The sequence below is a fragment of the Homo sapiens genome, chromosome 8 (assembly GCF_000001405.40).
Source record: "Homo sapiens chromosome 8, GRCh38.p14 Primary Assembly".
In the NCBI taxonomy this organism is placed as follows: domain Eukaryota; kingdom Metazoa; phylum Chordata; class Mammalia; order Primates; family Hominidae; genus Homo; species Homo sapiens.
In genome coordinates, this window is record NC_000008.11 from 144,410,907 (window position 1) to 144,428,731 (window position 17,825).

Genomic DNA, 17,825 nt, shown 5'->3' on the forward strand with positions numbered 1-17,825 from the left:
CTTTGCTACAATGACATGTTTGGGTAAAGAGAAACATAAATTTAGCCTACGTGCACATCCGGGCACAGTACCTTTCCTTGAACTTATTCATGATACAGATTCCTTTGCTCACATGTTTCCGCGCTGACCTTCTCCCCACTTGTTGCCCTGCTACACTCCCCTCGCTAAGATGGTAAAAATAATGATCAATACTGTGGGAACTCAGAGGCCGGTGCTGATGCAGGTCCTCCGTATGCTGGGTCCTCTGGGCCCACTGTTCTTTCCCTATACTTCGTCTGTGTGTCTTCTTTTCTCAGTCTCTCGTCCCACCTGATGAGAAATACTCACAGGTGTGGAGGGGCTGGCTCCCTTCAAAAATTAGCCAGGGTGGTGGCGCATGCCTGTAATCCCAGCTACTCAGGAGACTGAGGCAGGAGAATCACTTGAACCCAGGAGGCAGAGGTTGCAGTGAGCCAAGATGGCGTCATTGCACTCCAGCCTGAGTGACAAGAGTCACATACAATAAAAATAATCAGAAGAGACAGAAACACAAGAAAGAAGGTCATGTGGGCCAGGCGCAATGGCTCACACCTGTAATCCTAGCACTTTGGGAGATCGAGGTGGGTGGATTACCTGAGGTCAGGAGATCGAGACCAGCCTGGCCAACATGGTGAAACCCCGTCCTACTAAAAATATAAAAATTAACTGGGCGTGGTGGCGGGTGCCTGTAATCCCAGCTACTCGGGAGGCTGATGCAGAATTGCTTGAACCTGGGAGGCAGAGGTTGCAGTGAGCCGAGATGGTGCCACTGTACTCCAGCCGGGGCGACAGAGTGAAGCTCTGTCTCAAAAGAAGAAAGAAAAGAAAAGGGGAGGGGAGGGGAGGGAAGGTCATGTGAAGACAAAGGCAGGGATTGGAGTCATACTGCCCACAAACCAAGGAACACCTGGGGCCACCAGTAGCCAGGAAAGGCTCATGGAACAGACTGTTTCCTAGAGACTTCAGAGAGAGCATTGCTCTCCTGACACTTTGATTCCTAACTTTCAGCCTCCAGAACTGTGAGAATAAGTTTCTGGTTTTAAGGCACTCAGTTTATGGTAGGCTTTGTTAAGGTAGCCCTAGGAGGCCACCACACAGGCACTCAGGATTAACGCCTCAGAGTCAGAAGAGGCTGGCGTCCCAGGAACCGTGGGCTGCCACACACTCTGGTCTGACGATCTCCAGGTTTGCTTTCCATGACAGAGAAATAAGCCCTCGGCTGTGTAAGCAGTTATAGGTAAGCAAGTTTGATTCCTGTTTGGGGACAGGTCCCACCTGCTGCCCACACACCCGGGTGAATTTCCCTGACCCCACTCCTCAGGCAGGCAGGGTCTCCATATCAAAGAGGGGGCACCTGAGGCTGGCTGCCTGGGGGTCCTGAGTGCAGCTCTCCTGGCTTCGAGGCACCCCGATGGGGAGAAGGCAGTGCCGCAATTGTCCTTTCTCAGCTGAGGGCCCTTCCCACCCAGCAAGGAGAGCACAGCCATGCTCCAAGGACAAGAGTGTCTTTACTGGAGTTGGGACTGGGGCCTCTATAGGGGCTTCTGGTTTCTGGGCTGTAGGTTTGTGAGGTGTGGGATCTTAAGTCAAAGGTGGGGGACTAGGGCAGGGTATCAGAAGGTGATGTCATCCTCGTACAGGGACAGCAGCAGCAGGACGGTCCAGCCGCCCAGCAGGCCCACGTTGTGCAGCAGGAAGAGGAGCCAGGGCCGCGGGTCCCGTACTTTCAACATCGCCGGGAGCTGAGGAGCAAGTGGGCACCGGGTCAGCGCCCCTGCTCAGCTCCTCTGCTCAGCTCCCGGCCCAGAGCAGCCCCTCCCCTCGCCATCCTGACCATGTCGCAGAGTGCTACGTAGAGGAACAGGCCGGTGGCCACTGCCAGGATCCAGGCCTCGCTCTCCTCGCTGACTCCAACCGCGAGTGCCACGTAGAGACCAGCGAAGGCCGTGAGCGCGGAGGCCAGGTTCAGCAGCAGTGCTTGGCGCACGGACAGCCCCGCGTGCAGCAAGGCGGCGAAGTCCCCTGCGGGCGAGTCCACATTAACAGCTCCGCCCTCCTAGCTACATGCCCCGCCCACCTCCTTTCGGTCCCGCCCTCTTACCACCAGGCCCCGCCCACCTGTTCCCGGTCTCCCCGCCCAGCCGTCAGATCCCGCCCATCACCTTCCAGGCCCCGCCCCACCTGTTTCCGGTCTCCCCACCCAGCCAGGTGCGGCCCCGCCCATCTTCCAGGCCCCGCCCACCTGTTCCAGGTCTCCCCTCCCAGCCCCGTGCGGCCCCGCCCATCTCCTTCCAGGCCCCGCCTGCGCTCACCCAGCTCGTGTGGCAACTCGTGGCAGAACACGGCCAGCGAGGTGGCCAGCCCGGTCTTCCAGGAGGACGCGAAGGCGGCGCCCACGGCCAGCCCGTCGGCGAAGTTGTGCACGGCGTCGCCCAGAGTGATCATATAGGGCAGTAGCCTCAACTCTGCGGGCGCAGAGGCCCGTGGGTTCGCGTGGCCTGTCGCCTACCGCCAAGCCTTGGGCCCCACCCGCGCTCCACACAAACCCCAGATCCCCCAGCCCTTCCGGGGTCGCCCCCTGGGCTCACCTGGGCTCAGTCTCCTGGGCTCAGGGTTCAGCAGCTCCGGGCTCTCCTCCGCCACCTGGGAGGAGCCTTGAGTAAGTCCCGCCCGGAAGTGGAGGAGGAACGCGGTGGGGCGGGGCGGGGCCCCAGATCACCGCGGGAGGCGGAGCCGCAGGCCTGGGGTGGGGCTGGGAGTGTGGGCGTGGGAAGGGGTCGGTGGGAGGGGCTCCGCGTGGGATGGGGCATCTGGCGCCCACTCACCAGGTCTGCGCGGGAGCCCTCGTGGGGGGGCTTGGGCTGCCGGAGCTCGCTGGGTGCCAGCTGCAGGGACACACCGTGGCTGTGGCCCCCGTGGCTATGGCTGCTGTGGCCGCAGGGCCCGTCCTCCAGGTCCTGTGAGGGTAGGTGCTCAGTGTCCACCAGGCCCCCAGCACACCCACCCGCCGGGTACCTTCCCAAGAAGCCTGACCTCCGGGTCCCTGGGCAGCAGGAGATTGAAGAGGTTCTCAAACAGGAAGAAGGCGTAGAGCCCGGCCAGCATAGCCAGGAGGCGCCAGGTGGGCTGTGGGCTGAGGCCCTCTTCGCTGTGTGTATGCAGCCCCAGCACCTGGGGAGTAGGGGCGCTGGGCTGGGGGGGAGGTCCCAGGGCGCCTCCCACCAAGACCCAGGGAGAGGGGTCAGGAGGTGGGGTGGGTAAGGTCCCTGGGAGGGCACGGCCTGGGAGTCCATGGTGGGGAACGGAGGGCCAGGGTCGCGGGTTTGTGGGGGCAGACCTTGGGCGTCAGATGCAGGACAGCGTCCCCAGTGACTGCACCCACTGCCAGGCTCAGGAAGGTCTGCAGGATGTAGTGGGTGACCCCCCTGCAGCCAGTGCAGGTCAGCAGCAGGAGGCCAAAGACCGCGCAGAGGCAGATGAGCAGCGTGGCCAGGGAGCCGTACAGATACCCTGGGGGCGGGTGAGGCGGCTGTGAGAGCTTTTCTTCCAGACTCAGCCCCTGCTTCCCGGGCGCTGCTCACCAGAGCTGCAGGCCGTCAGTGTGGGCCAGGCCCTCACTCAGGCTGACCCTCCTGCCTCAAAGCCCCACTCTCCTGGCGACGCCACCTTCCCCTGTGTCTGTTGTTTCTACTTCCAGCCCCTGCTCACTCTCTCCATCCCTCATCCTGGGCAGCCACTCCTTCCTTCCTACACGGGCTCCACCTCTGTGCTGCCAGCACAATGTCGGCGTGGGCACTCACTCTCTGACTGGCTGAGCTGGTCCTGGACGGGGGGCCTGGACTGGGAGGTGCAGGCTCCACTCAGCTGCTGTTGGAGCAGGGCAGGGCTCAGTTGGGCCCAGGCCTCCGGGGTCACCCCAGCCTGTTCCGACAGTCCATATGCAGCCATCACGTCCCTGGCACTCAGGCATACCTGGGGGGTGGCAGGACAGGCTCAGGGGCCCAAGCAGACCCCGGTGAGGCCCCATCTTACCCCAGGGCGCAGCTCACCGTGTCCCACACACTGGAGCTGTTGCTGGAGCTGATGAGGGGCACAGGGTCCCGGCTGCTGGCTCCCCTGTGCCGATGACTGTGGTCACTGTGGGCCTCCCTGCCCACCCCCAGGCGCTGCATCAAGGCTGACAGCTCTGGCAGGGAGAAGAGTTGGCACCGCGAGTCTGTGTGGGCTCCGGCCCTGCCCCCCAGGGACGTGGAGGCTGGGGACTCGGGGGTGCCCCCCTCCACAGCCCAGCCCAGGCCTCACCGGCCAGCGTCATAGGGACCTCGCTGCTGTGCTGCTGGAACACAAAGTCCACGAAGTACTGAGGGCTCGGCAAGGCGTGGAAGCAAGACCCGCTCCTGACATGGTCCAGCAGGGCAGCCAGGACGCCGCCAGCACTGCCCGGAGCCCCCGCCCCCACCGCCTCCTCCAGCAGCTGAGGGATATCTACGCAGGCCTGGGGAAGAGGGGGCCTCCGCCTCAGCCTTTGGTGTGACCTTCTGCCATCCACCCCGCTGCCCCTGGATGCATCTCCCACCCCAACTACAGGATCTGCCCCCACCAGCCCCGCCCCTCCCTGGAGCCACAGCCCTCCCTGCCGGGCCCAGCTGCTTCAGGCTCCCACTCAGGCCTCTGGGTTCCTCCCTCATGAGGTCCCTCCCGGGGCTCCTACAGGCTCCCAACTGCCCAGTAGTGAGCCCCACGTTGTGAATCCCCAGCCGCAGGCCGACTCCTGGGCGTCTCCCCAGGCCCCCAGGCTCCCCGAAGGCTTTGCAGCCAGGCCGGGTCCCATGGGCCGTGGGACCCTCCTCACCCACTCCCCTGGTCTGCCTGGACTCTCCCTCACCATCTTGGGGGTCTGGCCGGCAGCCCGGGCCTGCATCCTCTGCAGCAGCCAGCTCAGGCCCGGGGTCAGGGCCTTGGGGCTCTCGAGCAGGGCCAGGAGGTGGTCTGCATGAGAGGCCCAGAGGCCAGCCCGAGCGTCCTCACAGGTGCCCTCGGGGTTGCTGAGGTACAGGACGGCGGCGGCACTGAGGCGGGCGACGTACCTGGCCTCCAGGACCGGGCCCGGGGGCAGCCCTGACCCCTCAGGCTCGCCCAGGCCCAGGGCGTCCTCCACAGACAGGCACTGTGGGCAGAGACAAGTGAGCAGGGGCGCTGGGCCCACCAGGGAGGGGAGAGGCAGGCCTGGCCAGGGGCTTCCCCGAGGGCCTGTTTCCCTTTCAAGTCCAACAACGTCCACCATCCTCTCTCAACCCCTGGCGCCCTTCCGTCTCCCCAGGCCCCTGTCCTGCTTCCCCAACTACAGGGGTGCACGCAGAGGGGTCCCCAACAGTGGTCCCCCATCCCCAGGGGACTCCCCTGGAGCCACTGCCAATTTGATGGCAGAGGGCCGGCAGGGGGAGTTGGCCCTGGGGTCCTGGGGAGAAGAGGGACTGTGTCCCTGGAAAGGCCTGTCTGCCCTCATGAGCAGGAGGGTGGGCTCTGGCCTGTGGGGAGGGTCAGGGTGCCCAGGTACTGCCACTAGCCTCCTCCGCCTCCTGGAGTTTGCCCAGGGCCCTTTGCTGCCGGCTGGCAGGGCGGAGCTGGCGGGAAGAGGCCAGGGCTGGGGGACCCGTCGGGTGGGGCTGTTACCTTTCCACACGGCCCGTTGGCGCAGTGCACACGGTCCGCCAGCGTATTTAACAGGCCGCCCAGAGCCTCTTGATCCAGAGCGCCCTGGCCAGAGGTGAGCAGGCTCAGCAGACCAGCAGGCGGGGACGCCGTCGCCGTCACCACCAGCACAGCCAGAAGCAGCCCCAGCTCCAGCGAGACCAGGGACGCCATACTCAGCTCCCAGCGTGCTCAGTGGGTGTTGCTGTGGCCAAGGCCCAGTGCTTCTGGGCTGGCTGAGGGCGGCTTTGCTGGGGTTGTCCAGGGCCAGACTGGGGCTGGGCTAGGACCCGCCCGGGCTGCATGAGGACCTCTCCCAGGTATTCCTGCAGAGCTCTGTGATTGGCTGCTGGAGATGCCTGGGTTAACCATTCCAGTGGCAGATCCTCCCCAACAGCCTGGAGCCACTGCCTGTGGGGGTCGAGGGCTGGGCCCCTTCCCCTGGACAGGCAGCCTCGGTGGTCTTTTTTTTTTCGAGTTGGAGTTTTGCTCTTGCTGCCCAGGCTGGAGTGCAATGGCGTGATCTTGGCTCACGGCAACCTCCGCCTCCCGGGTTCAAGTGCTTCTCCTGCCTCAGCCTCCCGAGTAGCTGGGATTACAGGCAGCGCCACCACGCCCGGTTACTTTTGTATTTTTAGTAGAGACAGTGTTTCTCCATGTTGGTCAGGCTGGTCTTGAACTCCCAACCTCAGGTGATTCGCCCGCCTTGGCCTCCCAAAGTGCTGGGATTACCGGCGTGGCTCACCACGCCAGGCCAGCCTGGGTGGGCTTCTGTCCTCTGCCTGCTGCCCCCCAAGCTGTGGGGCAGGGCTGGGGTGTCCCCTTCTGGCTGTCCATCTGGGGGCTGCCTCCAAGCTGGGGGACACAGGGCAGAGGTGCACAGATGCCCCCAGAGCCTGAGAGCTCCCAGGTCCCTGCCTCTGCCCCTCCCAACAGAGGCTGCCCAGACACCCTCGGTGGCCCCTGTTGGGGGTGGGGACATGGACCTCCCTCCTCCTGGGTCCTGGGCTGTGGTCCCTGTTGGGGACTGCGATGGAGTCAAAGAAACTGAAAAGGTGCCTGCTGCATCATGCTCCCTTAGGCCGGAGACAGCCCCAGGAAGCTCCAACACAGACAAACAGGAAGACGGAGCTGGGCCCTGGCAGCCACCTGGCCGAGCTTGGGTCAGGATAAGATTGGGGCAAGACCCCAGCTCTAGCCCCGGGGGCAGGGAGGCTGTGGCTCCCAGCCCTGCCCTCTCTGTGGGCTCCCTCTCTGGCCTTTGAGCCTAGAGGCCTTATCTCTACCGTGGTGGTGATGGCAGGAAGTCTGGGGGAAGGGGAAGGCAGATCTCAGGGCAGCTTTGCCTTCTGAAGGGGGAGTCCAGATGCCACCTCCCGCCCGGTCCAGCCAGCCTGACCCTGAGCATTGTGGGTGGGGCTGGGGTGGGGAGCTGGGTGCCTGAGGCCCAAGGACTCTGTCCCGCCATACACAGGGTGGGACGGGGCAGGGCGGGCATTGAGCCCAGTGTCCTGGGGTCAGGGTGCTTCCCCTGCCGGCCTCACCCCACCAAGCGGATCTCATGGTGCTCCTCTGGCTGGGCCCACCCGCAGTGGTATCCTTCTGGGGGCCCTTAGGGGAGCCTGCCGGGGGTGCAGATCCTGCCGGGGGTGCAGAGCCTGCTGGGGGTGCAGATGATTTCTGGGTCCCAGGACCATGAGGGGGCTGCTCTACACACAGCCTGAAGATGCTGCGGACCCAAACTGGCCCTTTCCCTCCCACACCACCCCAGGACCAATGGGCTGGCTGGAGGCCACCCATGCTAAAATAGGCTCAAGGGCCTACTTTAGCTTCTGGGCAAAGGTCTTGGCCTGGGCCTGACTCTGTGGCCTTCCTGAGCTGCCTCCCCAGTAGGCCTCAGTGCTGGGCTACAGGCCTCCTCCATTCCCTCCATTCATGTGACCCCACCCCTCCCAGCAGAAACTCTCTTCCGTAGCCCAGGAGCAGCTGTTGAGGGTTTCACCTGCCCATGCCCCAGCCTAAGGCCGGCTTCCCCAGAGCAGACGGGTTGCACTCTCCTGCCCCTCAGGCCCACTCTGTCATCCAACAAGCTCACTGCAACTGGCCCATCTTAAAAACAACACCGGCTGGTCACGCTGGCTCACACCTGTAATCCCAGCGCTGTGGGAGGCCGGGGCGGGGGGATCACTTAAAGTCAGGAGTTTAAGACCAGCCTGGGCAACATGGTGAAACCCGAGCTCCACTAAAAACACAAAAACAAATTAAGGCACCCTGAGTGGTGGTGGGTGCCTGTAGTCCCAGCGACTCGGGAGGCTGAGGCAGAATTGCTTGAGCCCAGGAGGTGGAGGCTGCAGTGAGCCACGATCGCATCACGCACTCCAGCCCGGGCAACCTGGCAAGACCCTGACTCTAAAAAGAAAAAAACAACAACAAAAAAAAGCCCACGTTCAATGGCAGCACTATTCAAAAGATGGAAGCAACTCAAGTATCCAAACGCGCATGAGTGAACACATCGTGGTTCATCCACAGTGGAACACGATTCAGCCAGAAAAAGGAAGGAAACCGGCCTGCACCGTGACTTGGATGCACCTGGAGGAGACTGTGATGAACGAAAGCAGCCAGACGCAAAAGGGCAAGGACGGTGTGATCTGACTGATGTGAGGACCCCAGCCAGTCAAATTCATGGAGACAGAAAGTAAAAGGGTTTTGGGAGGCCGAGGCGGGCAGATCACCTAAGGTCAGGACTTCGAGACCAGCCTAGCCAACATGGTGAAACCCCATCTCTACTAAAAAATACAAAAATTAGCCAGGCATGGTGGCGGGGTCCCAGCTGCTCAGAAGTCTGAGGCGGGAGAATTGCTTGAACCCCGGAGGCAGAGGTTACAGTGAGCTGAGATCACGCCATTGCACTCTAGCCTAGGCGACAGAGCTAGACTCTGTCTCAAAAATAGTAATAACAAAAAATTTTAAAATAAATAAAAAAAATACAGGCCGGGCACAGTGGCTCATACCTCTAATCCCAGTACTTTGGGAGGCCAAGGCGGGCGGATCACCTGAGGTTGGGAGTATAAGACCAGCCTGGCCAACATGGTGAAAACCTGTCTACTAAAAGGTACAAAACTTAGCTGGGCATAGTGGCAGGAGCCTGTAATCCCAGCTACTCAGGAGGCGAAGGCGGGAGAACTGCTTGAACCCGGAAGGCAGAGGTTGCAGTGAGCCGAGATCGCACCATAGCATTCCAGCCTGGGCAACAGAACGAGACTCTGTCTAAAAAAAAAAACAAAAAATTAAATAAGTTAAAAAAAATACATGCCTGGCACCCAGTGGCTCATGCCTGTAATCCTAGTACTTTGTAGGGCCAAGGCAGGCGGATCACCTGAGGTCGGGAGTTCCAGACCAGCCTGACCAACATGGAGAAACCCCATCTTTACTAAAAATACAAAATTAGCCAGCAGGGCGTGGTGGCTTATGCCTGTAATCCCAGCACTTTGGGAGGCTGAGGCGGGCGGATCACGAGGTCAGGAGATCGAGACCATCCTGGCTAACACGGTGAAACCCCGTCTCTACTAAAAATAAAAATAATTAGCCGGGTGTGGTGGCGGGCGCCTGTAGTCCCAGCTACTCGGGAGGCTGAGGCAGGAGAATGGCGTGAACCCGGGAGGCGAAGCTTGCAGTGAGCCGAGATTGCACCACTGCACTCCAGCCTGGCCAACATAGCAAGACTCCGTCTCAAAAAAAAAAAAAAAATACAAAATTAGCCGGGCGTGGTGGCACATGCCTGTAATCCCAGCTACTCAGGAGGCTGAGGCAGGCGACTCTTGAACCTGGGAGGCGGAGCTTGCAGTGAGCCGAGATTGCACCACTGCACTCCAGCCTGGGCGACAGAACGAGACTCCATCTCAAAAAAAAAAAAAAAAAATACAAAATTAGCCAGGCATGGTGGCACATGCCTGTAATCCCACCTATTCAGGAGGCTGAGGCAGGCGACTCTTGAACCTGGCAGGTGGAGGTTGCAGTGAGCCGAGATCACGCCATTGCACTCCAGCCTGGACAACAAGAGCGAAACTCCGACTCAAACAAACAACAAAATACAAAACTTAAGCCAGGCTGGCGGCATACCCCTGTAGTCCCAGCTATTCGGGAGGCTGAGGCAGGAGAATCACTTGAACCTGGGAGGTTGAGGCTGCAGTGAGCTGAGATCATGCCACTGCACTCCAGCCTGGGCGACAGAGCCAAACTCTCTCTCAAAAAAAAAAAAGAGAAAGAAAAGAAAGAAGGGTGACTGCCAGGGCTGGGAAGGGGAGAATGTGTGTGAGTGTTTAATGGGGATGGAGCTTTACTTTGTTTGGATGGAAAAGTTCTGGAGGTAGACGGTGGTGAGGTTGTACAATAATGTAAATACACTTAATGCCCCTGAACTGTGTACTTAAAATCAGTTAAAATGGCAAAATTTGCTATATTTTATCACAGTAAAAAAAATAAAATAGGCCGGGCACGGTGGTTCACGCCTGTAATCCCAGCATTTTGGGAGGCTGAGGCGGGCGAATCACCTGAGGTCAGGATTTGAGACTAGCGTGGCTAACATGGTGGAACCCCGTGTTTACTAAAGATACAAAAACTAGCCGGCTGGGCGCGGTGGCTCACGCCTGTAATCCCAGTACTTTGGGAGGCGGAGGCCGGCAGATCACGAGGTCAGGAGATCCAGACCATCCTGGCTAACATGGTGAAACCCTGTCTCTACTGAAAATACAAAAAATTAGCTGGGCGTGGTGGCGGGTGCCTGTAGTCCCAGCTACTTGGGAGGCTGAGGCAGGAGAATGGCATGAACCCGGGAGGCAGGGCTTGCAGTGAGCAGGGATGGTGCCACTGCACTCCAGCCTGGGTGGCAGAGAGAGACTCTGTCTCAAAAAAAAAAAAAAAAAAATTGGCTGGGCATGGTGTCTCCCGCCTGTAGTCCCAGCTACTCAGGAGGCTGAGGCAAGAGAATTGCTTGAACCCAGGAGGCGGAGATTGCAGTGAGCCGAGATCATGCCATTGCACTCTAGCCTGGGCGAAAGAGGGAGACTCCATCTCAAATAAAAAATTTAAAATTAAAATTAAAAAAAAAAAAAAAAAAAACAGGCCGTGTGCGGTGGTTCACACCTGTAATCCCAATACTTTGGGACGCCAAGGCGGCAGATCACCTGAGGTCAGGAGTTGGAGACCAGCCTGACCAACATGGAGAAACCCTGTTTTTACTAAAAATACACAATTAGCTGGGCATGGTGGCAACACATGTAATCCCAGCTACTCAGGAAGGTAAGGCAGGAGAATTGCTTGAACCCTGGAGGCAGAGGTTGCAGTGAGCCGAGATCACACCATTGCACTCTAGCCTAGGTGACAGAGCGAGAGTCCGTCTCAAAAAAAAAAAAACAAAAATTAAATTTAAAAAAATACATGCCTGGCACCCAGTGGCTCACACCTGTAATCCCAGTACTTTGGGAGGCCAAGGCAGGCGGATCACCTGAGGTTGGGAGTTGGAGACCAGCCTGACCAAACATGGAGAAACCCGATCTCTACTAAAAATACAAAATTAGCCGGGAATGGTGGCGTGCCCCTGTAGTCCCAGCTACTCAGGAGGCTGAGACAGGAGAATCACTTGAACCCGGGAGGTGGAGGTCGCAGTGAGCCGAGATCGCGCCATTGCACTTCACCCTGGGCGAGAGAGAGCGACTCCTCAAAAAAAAAAAAAAAGATCAAAATGACCCTTCCTGGCCACCTGCCCCCCTTGACACACACACGTTTCTGGGTGCTGGTCCTCCCTCGAAGCACCCCGTACCCACATGTGCCTGTCAAGGACATCGAGCCCCAGGGCCCGACCCGACAGTGCCCTTCCTCAACTCCCTTGGGTGTCCTGGATCCTGCTGTCCTGGGGGCTCTTCTCTGGCTCCTTGGTCAGTCTCTTCCCACTTCCCATGGCAGTGCCCCTGGCCAGTCCTCCGGCTTCTTGGCGGGACTCAGCCTCCCTCTCCAGCCACTGACATCGTCATCCTGCTTGACGGCCCCCCTTGGCCGTCTGAGAGGCAGTCCCCACTCAGCCTGTGCACAGAGCCCACCTGCCTCCATGATGTCCCAAGCCCCCACGGAAATCCAAGCGACTTGATTTTCACTATCTGCCTTTCTCTACACACCTCATTCCACCGGCTCTAGATGCCACAGATGTCAAGAGGTTCTGGCATTCTCAGTCGCTAAGAGAGAAAAATTCTACAATGACACCCTGGCACGTCCCTTATCCTGAGGGCATAGTTGCTAAGATGTGAAGCACGCGGCTCTTGGAACCCAGAGGTGTGGTGTGTGGTCTGCTGCTTTTCCCTGGGGGCAGCAGCAGGTGTGCAGCACACGCTGTGGAATGGACGGCGTCCACCACCCGCTGCCTCCCCACCAGGCCCAGCCTTGACTCTTGGGCTTTGCCCAGGGGCTTGGGGAGAGGCCCTGGTGGTGGGCATGACAAACTCCCACCCAATGAGTAATTGGCTGGAGCTGCAGATAAGTCAGGAGTCCTGGGCCAGGGTGCAGTCATCCGAGTGGAGAGGTGGGTGTGGAGCAGCTGACAGCATGAAGTGCACCCCGCCTCTGAGCCCAGCCTGGCCTGGTGTGCTGGGACCTGACTGCACTCAGAAGACCTGGTGCTGCCCTGGGCTTCAGTGAGGCGTGGGGAGGGGTGGCAGGCAGCCTCCCCTGTGGCCAGAGTCAAGCCACGCCTGGCCCAGGTGGTAGACCTGTTCTCCAGGCCTCGGGGCTATGGAAACGCCCCTGCCTCCTATTATGTGCCCAGGCAGAGCCCACCAGGGAAGCAGCCGTCACTGAGTGATGCAGGCCATGAGGAATGCAGTGGCAGGGACAGAGCCAGGGCCGGGCCACCACACAGGTCGGGGGAGGGTAGGCGAGAGGGGCTCTATGCTGAGAGTCCCAGGAGGGTGGAGAGAATACACAGGGCAGGCCTGGGGGAGCCACCCAAGCAGGAAGGTCGGAGAGCATCTTTATTGTGGGGAGGGGCCCGGCCCCCAAAGTTCTGACACCAAAGACAGACACCAGACAGGCAGCTGCAGACAGTGAGTTGTGTGGATGACCACGGCCTGTGTGGCGGACAGGGGACCAGGAGCCATCGCCTCAGACTCTGCCCTTCTGTGCAAGGGCTAGTGCCCCGGGCTCAGGCATGCAGGAAGCGGTTGAAGGCGTTGTAGGCTGACTCCAGGTCGAACAGCATCTGACGCACCTGTGAGTCGTCCAGCTCATCTGACGCCGACATGCCGCTCAGGGTCTGCAGCCTGGGAGTGCAGCACAGGGCATGTGGGGGCTGAGGGCCTCAGGGGCACTGCGGGGCTCCGCCTGGCTGGGAGGGTCTCGGGCACTGCGGGGCTCTGCCTGGCTGGGAGGGACACCCACCACTGGCTGACCGTCTGGCGGCCCTCAAAGTCGGGTGGGAGGTGGCTCATGCGGTGCATGGTCTCCATCAGCTCTCGCAGGTCGGGCTGGATCTGAGACACACACAGCGGCTGGGACCCCGACGCCGGCTCCATCCCCTCCTGCCTAGGCCCCCTGCCAGCCCAATACCCGCACCTCATCCATGGCGCGGATCTCCAGACGCAGCTTGTCCATGACCGTGATGAAGAGCTGGGGGCAGGTGTGCACATGAGGCTCGCGTGTCCACGGGTGCGGGAGGCCCCACGGCTCACGGGCCCCAACCCCTCCTCAGCCACAGCTGTCACTTGGGCCTCCTCACTGTACTCTGTTCCCAAACCCTGCAGGCCTCCTGGGTGAACGAGGTCCTGGCTGCCCAGACAGCTGTGTGGGAACTGAAGGGTGGGCCCACACCCACACTCTCTCCCGAGGCCAGGACCCCGCCAGAACGCACCCTGTGCTCATCCCCCCGACAGGAGTCCAGGTGGCCTGGGGGCGTCCCCGCATGCTGCCCACCCCTCATTCCTAGTTAAAGGGGTTCCCTTCTGCCCAGCAAGTCAGAGTGCTGCTCAGCTCTGGAGGCCCAGGACCCTACGCTCGTGCCCAGCTGCAGCAGGCAGCCTCGGCTCTCCTAACCACGTGCCCTGGGGGCTGGGGCGCACCGAGACCACGTCTGCGATGCAGCGGTTGAGGTTGCCCTTGTCGTCCTTGATGGTGATGGGCCGGTCCTCCTTGATCCGCTCCATGGCCAGCGGGCAGTCCAGCTGTTGGGGGTGACATGGGTGCTGGGGCTCTCAGGACAGCAAGCCCCAGGTGGCCAGAGCCCTCTGGCACCCCATACCCATGCCCGACAGTCTCGCCCCATGGGGGTGGAAGGACCAGGCACTCACGCGGAACTTGCGGCAGAATTCGTCAATAGAGCTGATTTCTGAGCCCTGGACCTGCCTGAAGGCAGCTTTGTATTGGACCAGGAGCCGGGAGCAGGCTGCAGTGTACCTAGGGAGAGGTCAGCTGCTGCCCAAGCATGGGACCAGCCCCACCCAGCTCATCCTACCCCCTCGGCTGGTCCAGAGGCAAAGCAGCTTCCAGAGAGGACCAGGCGACAGGCAAAGGCAGGCCGAGCAAGGAGGAGGGGCTGCTAGTAGCTTTTGGGGGTGAGGCCCTGAGCACGTAGTGGGGCTTGTAGCTCGGCTCCAGGTGGAGACCCCGGCCCCCAACCCCTGCCCACCCTCTGAACCACAGCGACCAGCCCTCTGTTGTGATGGCCGCATCCACAGCTCATGGTCCTGTGCGGTGGCCTGTGACGGTCTTGTCACTTCATTGAACAAAGCCCCCCCAAAAGATCCTGGGACATCCCCAAGCCTCTCGACCGTTTTTTAAGGTTGCCTGTGCTGGGGGATGAGGGTGGGGGAGTGGGCCGGATGACACCCCAGGAGCTGCGCCTCTGCCCGCCTCCCTCACCAGCCCCCAGGACTTCCCTGGCTGAGACCCAGGGGCACCCTCCTCACGCTGGGTGGGCCCCACACAAGTGGGTGCCTCCCAGCCTGACAGACGCCTGCTCTTGCTGCCTATGGAGCACCCAAGCCCCCCAGGGCAGGAACAGACCTCCCAGGACGTGGGCTCTTACTCGCTGGGGGAGACACAGTCCTTGATGTAGGCCTTCTCCAGGGCTTGCATTGTCTTCACCACCGCAAACAGCTCTGCCATGTTGTCGTACCTGAGGACACACCTGTCTATCGGGCCAGGCCCCGGGGTGCCAAGCCTAGAGCCCAGAGTGCTACCCCCTGCCCGGAGGTGCCACTGCGGGCGCTCTGCCCACCTCTTGCTCCATCCTGGAGTGCCTCAGGAACAGTTCCCCAGACTGACCCTGCGTCCTCCCACCCCTCAGTTTGGGGTGGGTCTGGAGGGGCTGCCCCAGGGCAGCCAGATGCGCATGGGTGTGTTGGGACAGCCTGGGCGCCTGGACTTACTTCTCCCTCTCCCGGGCGTTCTTGTACAACTTCACTTCCTGCCGGAGAGAGCGGGCTCTGTGGGCCAGTGCCAACAGGGGCTGCAGGACCCTGGTGAGGCCACACAGGCATTTGCTGTTGGCCAATGCCGGCCGGGTGGGCACCCACCACTCACCTCATACAGCTCCGGCTTGTTCCCAGGGGCTGCAAGAGAAGGCAGAGAGCTGGCAGGCTGGCCCCAAAGGGAACCCAAGGGCAGACTCCAGTCCCAGTCTCCATTTCAGTTCCTCCCTGAGGCCTCCCAGGCTGGGTCCCAAAGAGCCCAGAGGGAGCTGGAGCACAGAGGTTCCAACCTCACCCCTATCAGTGTGTGGGGGGACCTGATGATAACACCTCTGAGAAGCCGGGGGCCGCATGACAGGCCCAGCTCCCCAGCTCCACTGCGGCTCCCCGGGGGACCGCATGACAGGCCCAGCTCCCCAGCTCCACTGCGGCTCCCCGGGGGACCGCATGACAGGCCCAGCTCCCCAGCTCCACCATGGCTCCCTGGCGGAGTCACCTGCACAACAGTGGCCACGCCCTGCTCGTGGCTCATGATGCAGTGCCAACAAGGCTCACCACACACAGCCTCTCCCCTGGGATTGGTGACACAGGGTGCCCAGGACCCCCACCGTTCTGGCCACACCGAAGCTCATCATCTCTGCCCAGCAGGACCAAGCCAGTTCTGTCTGGAGGTTTCTGAGCCCTCAGTGCTCCTGCAATGAACTATTTAGCCCCTGGCCACCCCCAAGGCTGTACGAGAGCAGGGTCAGATACCTCCCCACCCCCGATCCCCAATACCCAATACTGCCCGTCAGCCCCTGCAGAAGCGGCTGAAAGCCTGCGCCCTTCCAGCCACACTCACCTCCTATGCCCGGCGTGGCTGGGATCCCATGAAACATCCTCTAGGCTCTGGGGGGGGCACAGCACTGAGACCTGGGGAGCAGAGCCAGGGCCGACTCAAAGATGGCCCCTAAGCCAGGCGCTGGCTCACACCTGTAATCCCAGCACTTTGGGAGGCCGAGGTGAGCGGATCACCTGAGGTCAGGAGTTTGAGACCAGCCTGGCCAACATGGTGAAACCCTGTCTCTACTAAAATTACAAAATTAGCCGGACGTTGTGGCATACGGTTGTAATCCCAGCTACTCAGGAGGCTGAGGCAGGAGAATCGCTTGAACCCAGGAGGTGAAGGTTTCAATGAGCCAAGACCGAGCCACTGCACTCCAGCCTGGGAGACAGAGCAAGACCCTGTCTCAAAACAAACAAACGAACAACAAAAAAAACCGACAAAAAAAGACAGCCCGTAAGTGCCAGGTCCTGGAGACCCAGGGCTCCATGAAGAGCTCTCCTAAGCTCAATAATGGTGAACACACAGGGTGCTATAGGGGCTACCAGAAAAAGTGAGGTACTATGGACACTCAGGAGAGCGGGGCGGGGGCTGCAGTGGAGTGTGGTTCAAGCTGGAGGTTGAGGGAGGTTATGAGGGCGGCAGGCAGCTGTTTGATGGCCCACGAGGAGAGTTTGGGGCACAGGAAACAACACACTTAACAGCCCGCCTTTAAGTAGGCATGAACTTGGAGGAACCAACAAGCTGAAGGTGCAGCTTCTCGAAAGAGGGGGTCCTAGGGAATGAAGATGGAGAGGTGCCCCTAGTTGGGCAGCGAGCTGTGGAGAAACAATGGGAGCGGGGCCCGTGGGAGGGTCCTGCCTAGCACGGAAGCTGGGCCAGCTCCAGACGTTCTCTCTTTGAAAGTGGAGCCGTCAGATCCGCCGAGGGATTTGAGATAGGATTAAAATAAAGGAGTTACGAACGACACCCCTGTTTTTGGCCCAATGGGCCGGGCAGTAAGATAAACTCAGACGGAGAGGGGAGGAGGAGCGGGCCTGGCGGGCAGGCGCAGGAAGCTCTCGGTGGAGAGGCCCGGGAGAGCAGCGCTGAGCCGGCTAACTGGGAGTGGACGGTGCTACCGGGGATGGGAGAAGAGCAGAAGTGAGGGAAGGCCGCCCGCGCCGAAGCCCTGGGGCGCCCCAGCCGAGGAAGAGCCGGGAAAGGGCGTCGCCGCTCATGTAGGTAGGGAACGTCTGGGTCAAGCTCTCCGAGGGTCGAGGCCATTGCGAGCCGCGGGGTGGGGACCGAGGCTGCTCGGCAGCCGTCACGGAGCCGCCAGGCAGGAGAGCGCCGAGGAGCCAACCGCCCCAACCACGCAGGAGCTTCTGCCTAACAGCGAAAGCGGACGTTCTGCGGCCACAAGCAAATGTGCAAAACAACCTCGCAGAGTGGACAACGAGCAAGGAAAGCCAGTTTCTAGAACATGCCAATAACGTGACTTTTGCGGCGCTCAGCCGAAGCTGTGCCGGGGCCTAGGCGCGCCCAGAGGGTGCCAGGCCCTGAGTCGCCTCTCCCCACTCTGCCCCTTCCCCGCCCACCGGCCGGGCCCCGGGTACCTGGACGGCTCGCGGTCGGGAAGATGGCGCCGGGGGCGGGGTGCGCTCGGTCAGCGACTCGGCATTCGCCCCTCATGTCTGCGCCTGCGCGCGTCGGGGCGACCCCCCGCCCCTCCGTCCCCATCGGCAGCTCGGCGCTCAGCCCTCACGCCTGCGCCCGCGCCCGCCCGGACTTCGGGACATTCCCTCCAGCCGCGCAGCCCCCGGGACGTAACCGGCGCAGCAGACTCGAAGCCCGGTCTT

The 17,825-nt window shown here is 61.0% G+C and overlaps 2 protein-coding genes and 1 long non-coding RNA gene across 11 annotated transcripts, besides 10 other annotated features; 1 reads left to right on the top strand and 2 right to left on the bottom strand.

Annotated features, from left to right (window-relative positions):
• On the bottom strand, positions 1,508 to 5,938 carry SLC39A4 (solute carrier family 39 member 4). Of its 5 annotated transcripts, NM_130849.4 has the most exons (12): positions 5,692 to 5,938; positions 4,904 to 5,185; positions 4,321 to 4,513; positions 4,068 to 4,204; positions 3,819 to 3,990; positions 3,356 to 3,528; positions 3,052 to 3,189; positions 2,844 to 2,975; positions 2,607 to 2,661; positions 2,331 to 2,483; positions 1,853 to 2,040; positions 1,508 to 1,760 (listed from the first exon to the last, which is right to left on the bottom strand). In NM_130849.4, exons 1-12 carry the CDS (start codon positions 5,881 to 5,883, stop codon positions 1,632 to 1,634), a joined length of 1,944 nt encoding a protein of 647 aa, NP_570901.3. In that variant the 5' UTR covers positions 5,884 to 5,938; the 3' UTR covers positions 1,508 to 1,631. The 5 variants fall into 5 exon arrangements, with proteins under 5 accessions (NP_570901.3, NP_001361768.1, NP_060237.3 ...); NM_001374839.1 differs by lacking the exon at positions 4,904 to 5,185; NM_017767.3 differs by lacking the exon at positions 5,692 to 5,938 and having other exon boundaries at positions 4,904 to 5,543.
• Positions 2,056 to 2,165: a silencer, noted in NCBI's record as "silent region_19682". NCBI's record gives its function as "represses an Ori minimal core promoter by ATAC-STARR-seq in GM12878 lymphoblastoid cells {active_cell/tissue: GM12878}" and the evidence as "EXISTENCE:reporter gene assay evidence [ECO:0000049][PMID:35858748]".
• Positions 2,386 to 2,435: an enhancer, noted in NCBI's record as "active region_28098". NCBI's record gives its function as "activates an Ori minimal core promoter by ATAC-STARR-seq in GM12878 lymphoblastoid cells {active_cell/tissue: GM12878}" and the evidence as "EXISTENCE:reporter gene assay evidence [ECO:0000049][PMID:35858748]".
• Positions 2,554 to 2,751: a silencer, noted in NCBI's record as "fragment chr8:145638844-145639041 (GRCh37/hg19 assembly coordinates)". NCBI's record gives its function as "represses an EF-1alpha promoter that drives an FKBP-Casp9 reporter gene in an ReSE screen in HepG2 liver carcinoma cells {active_cell/tissue: HepG2}" and the evidence as "EXISTENCE:reporter gene assay evidence [ECO:0000049][PMID:32094911]".
• Positions 2,554 to 3,035: a biological region, named in NCBI's record as "ReSE screen-validated silencer GRCh37_chr8:145638844-145639041".
• Positions 2,616 to 3,035: a silencer, noted in NCBI's record as "silent region_19683". NCBI's record gives its function as "represses an Ori minimal core promoter by ATAC-STARR-seq in GM12878 lymphoblastoid cells {active_cell/tissue: GM12878}" and the evidence as "EXISTENCE:reporter gene assay evidence [ECO:0000049][PMID:35858748]".
• Positions 2,977 to 3,794: an enhancer, noted in NCBI's record as "H3K27ac-H3K4me1 hESC enhancer chr8:145639267-145640084 (GRCh37/hg19 assembly coordinates)". NCBI's record gives its function as "activates a minimal SCP1, AML or CMV promoter by ChIP-STARR-seq in naive H9 embryonic stem cells {active_cell/tissue: H9 hESC(naive)}" and the evidence as "EXISTENCE:reporter gene assay evidence [ECO:0000049][PMID:30033119]".
• Positions 3,050 to 8,707, top strand: LOC124902041 (uncharacterized). Its single transcript, XR_007061145.1, has 2 exons — positions 3,050 to 3,139; positions 3,716 to 8,707. It is a non-coding gene; the product is annotated as an uncharacterized LOC124902041 (long non-coding RNA).
• Positions 11,104 to 11,875: an enhancer, noted in NCBI's record as "H3K27ac-H3K4me1 hESC enhancer chr8:145647393-145648164 (GRCh37/hg19 assembly coordinates)". NCBI's record gives its function as "activates a minimal SCP1, AML or CMV promoter by ChIP-STARR-seq in naive H9 embryonic stem cells {active_cell/tissue: H9 hESC(naive)}" and the evidence as "EXISTENCE:reporter gene assay evidence [ECO:0000049][PMID:30033119]".
• Positions 11,876 to 12,645: an enhancer, noted in NCBI's record as "H3K27ac-H3K4me1 hESC enhancer chr8:145648165-145648934 (GRCh37/hg19 assembly coordinates)". NCBI's record gives its function as "activates a minimal SCP1, AML or CMV promoter by ChIP-STARR-seq in naive H9 embryonic stem cells {active_cell/tissue: H9 hESC(naive)}" and the evidence as "EXISTENCE:reporter gene assay evidence [ECO:0000049][PMID:30033119]".
• VPS28 (VPS28 subunit of ESCRT-I) lies at positions 12,711 to 17,642 on the bottom strand. Of its 5 annotated transcripts, none has more exons than XM_005272324.4 (10): positions 17,583 to 17,642; positions 16,003 to 16,073; positions 15,274 to 15,302; positions 15,120 to 15,157; positions 14,777 to 14,866; positions 14,040 to 14,094; positions 13,812 to 13,913; positions 13,309 to 13,362; positions 13,135 to 13,226; positions 12,711 to 13,016 (listed from the first exon to the last, which is right to left on the bottom strand). In XM_005272324.4, the coding sequence occupies exons 2-10, from the start codon at positions 16,037 to 16,039 to the stop codon at positions 12,899 to 12,901; spliced, it is 615 nt and encodes a 204-aa protein (XP_005272381.1). In that variant the 5' UTR covers positions 16,040 to 16,073; positions 17,583 to 17,642; the 3' UTR covers positions 12,711 to 12,898. The 5 variants fall into 5 exon arrangements, with proteins under 5 accessions (XP_005272381.1, NP_057292.1, NP_898880.1 ...); NM_016208.4 differs by having other exon boundaries at positions 14,040 to 14,145; NM_183057.3 differs by having other exon boundaries at positions 12,711 to 13,226; positions 14,040 to 14,145.
• Positions 14,974 to 15,737: an enhancer, noted in NCBI's record as "H3K4me1 hESC enhancer chr8:145651263-145652026 (GRCh37/hg19 assembly coordinates)". NCBI's record gives its function as "activates a minimal SCP1, AML or CMV promoter by ChIP-STARR-seq in naive H9 embryonic stem cells {active_cell/tissue: H9 hESC(naive)}" and the evidence as "EXISTENCE:reporter gene assay evidence [ECO:0000049][PMID:30033119]".
• Positions 17,468 to 17,817: a silencer, noted in NCBI's record as "silent region_19684". NCBI's record gives its function as "represses an Ori minimal core promoter by ATAC-STARR-seq in GM12878 lymphoblastoid cells {active_cell/tissue: GM12878}" and the evidence as "EXISTENCE:reporter gene assay evidence [ECO:0000049][PMID:35858748]".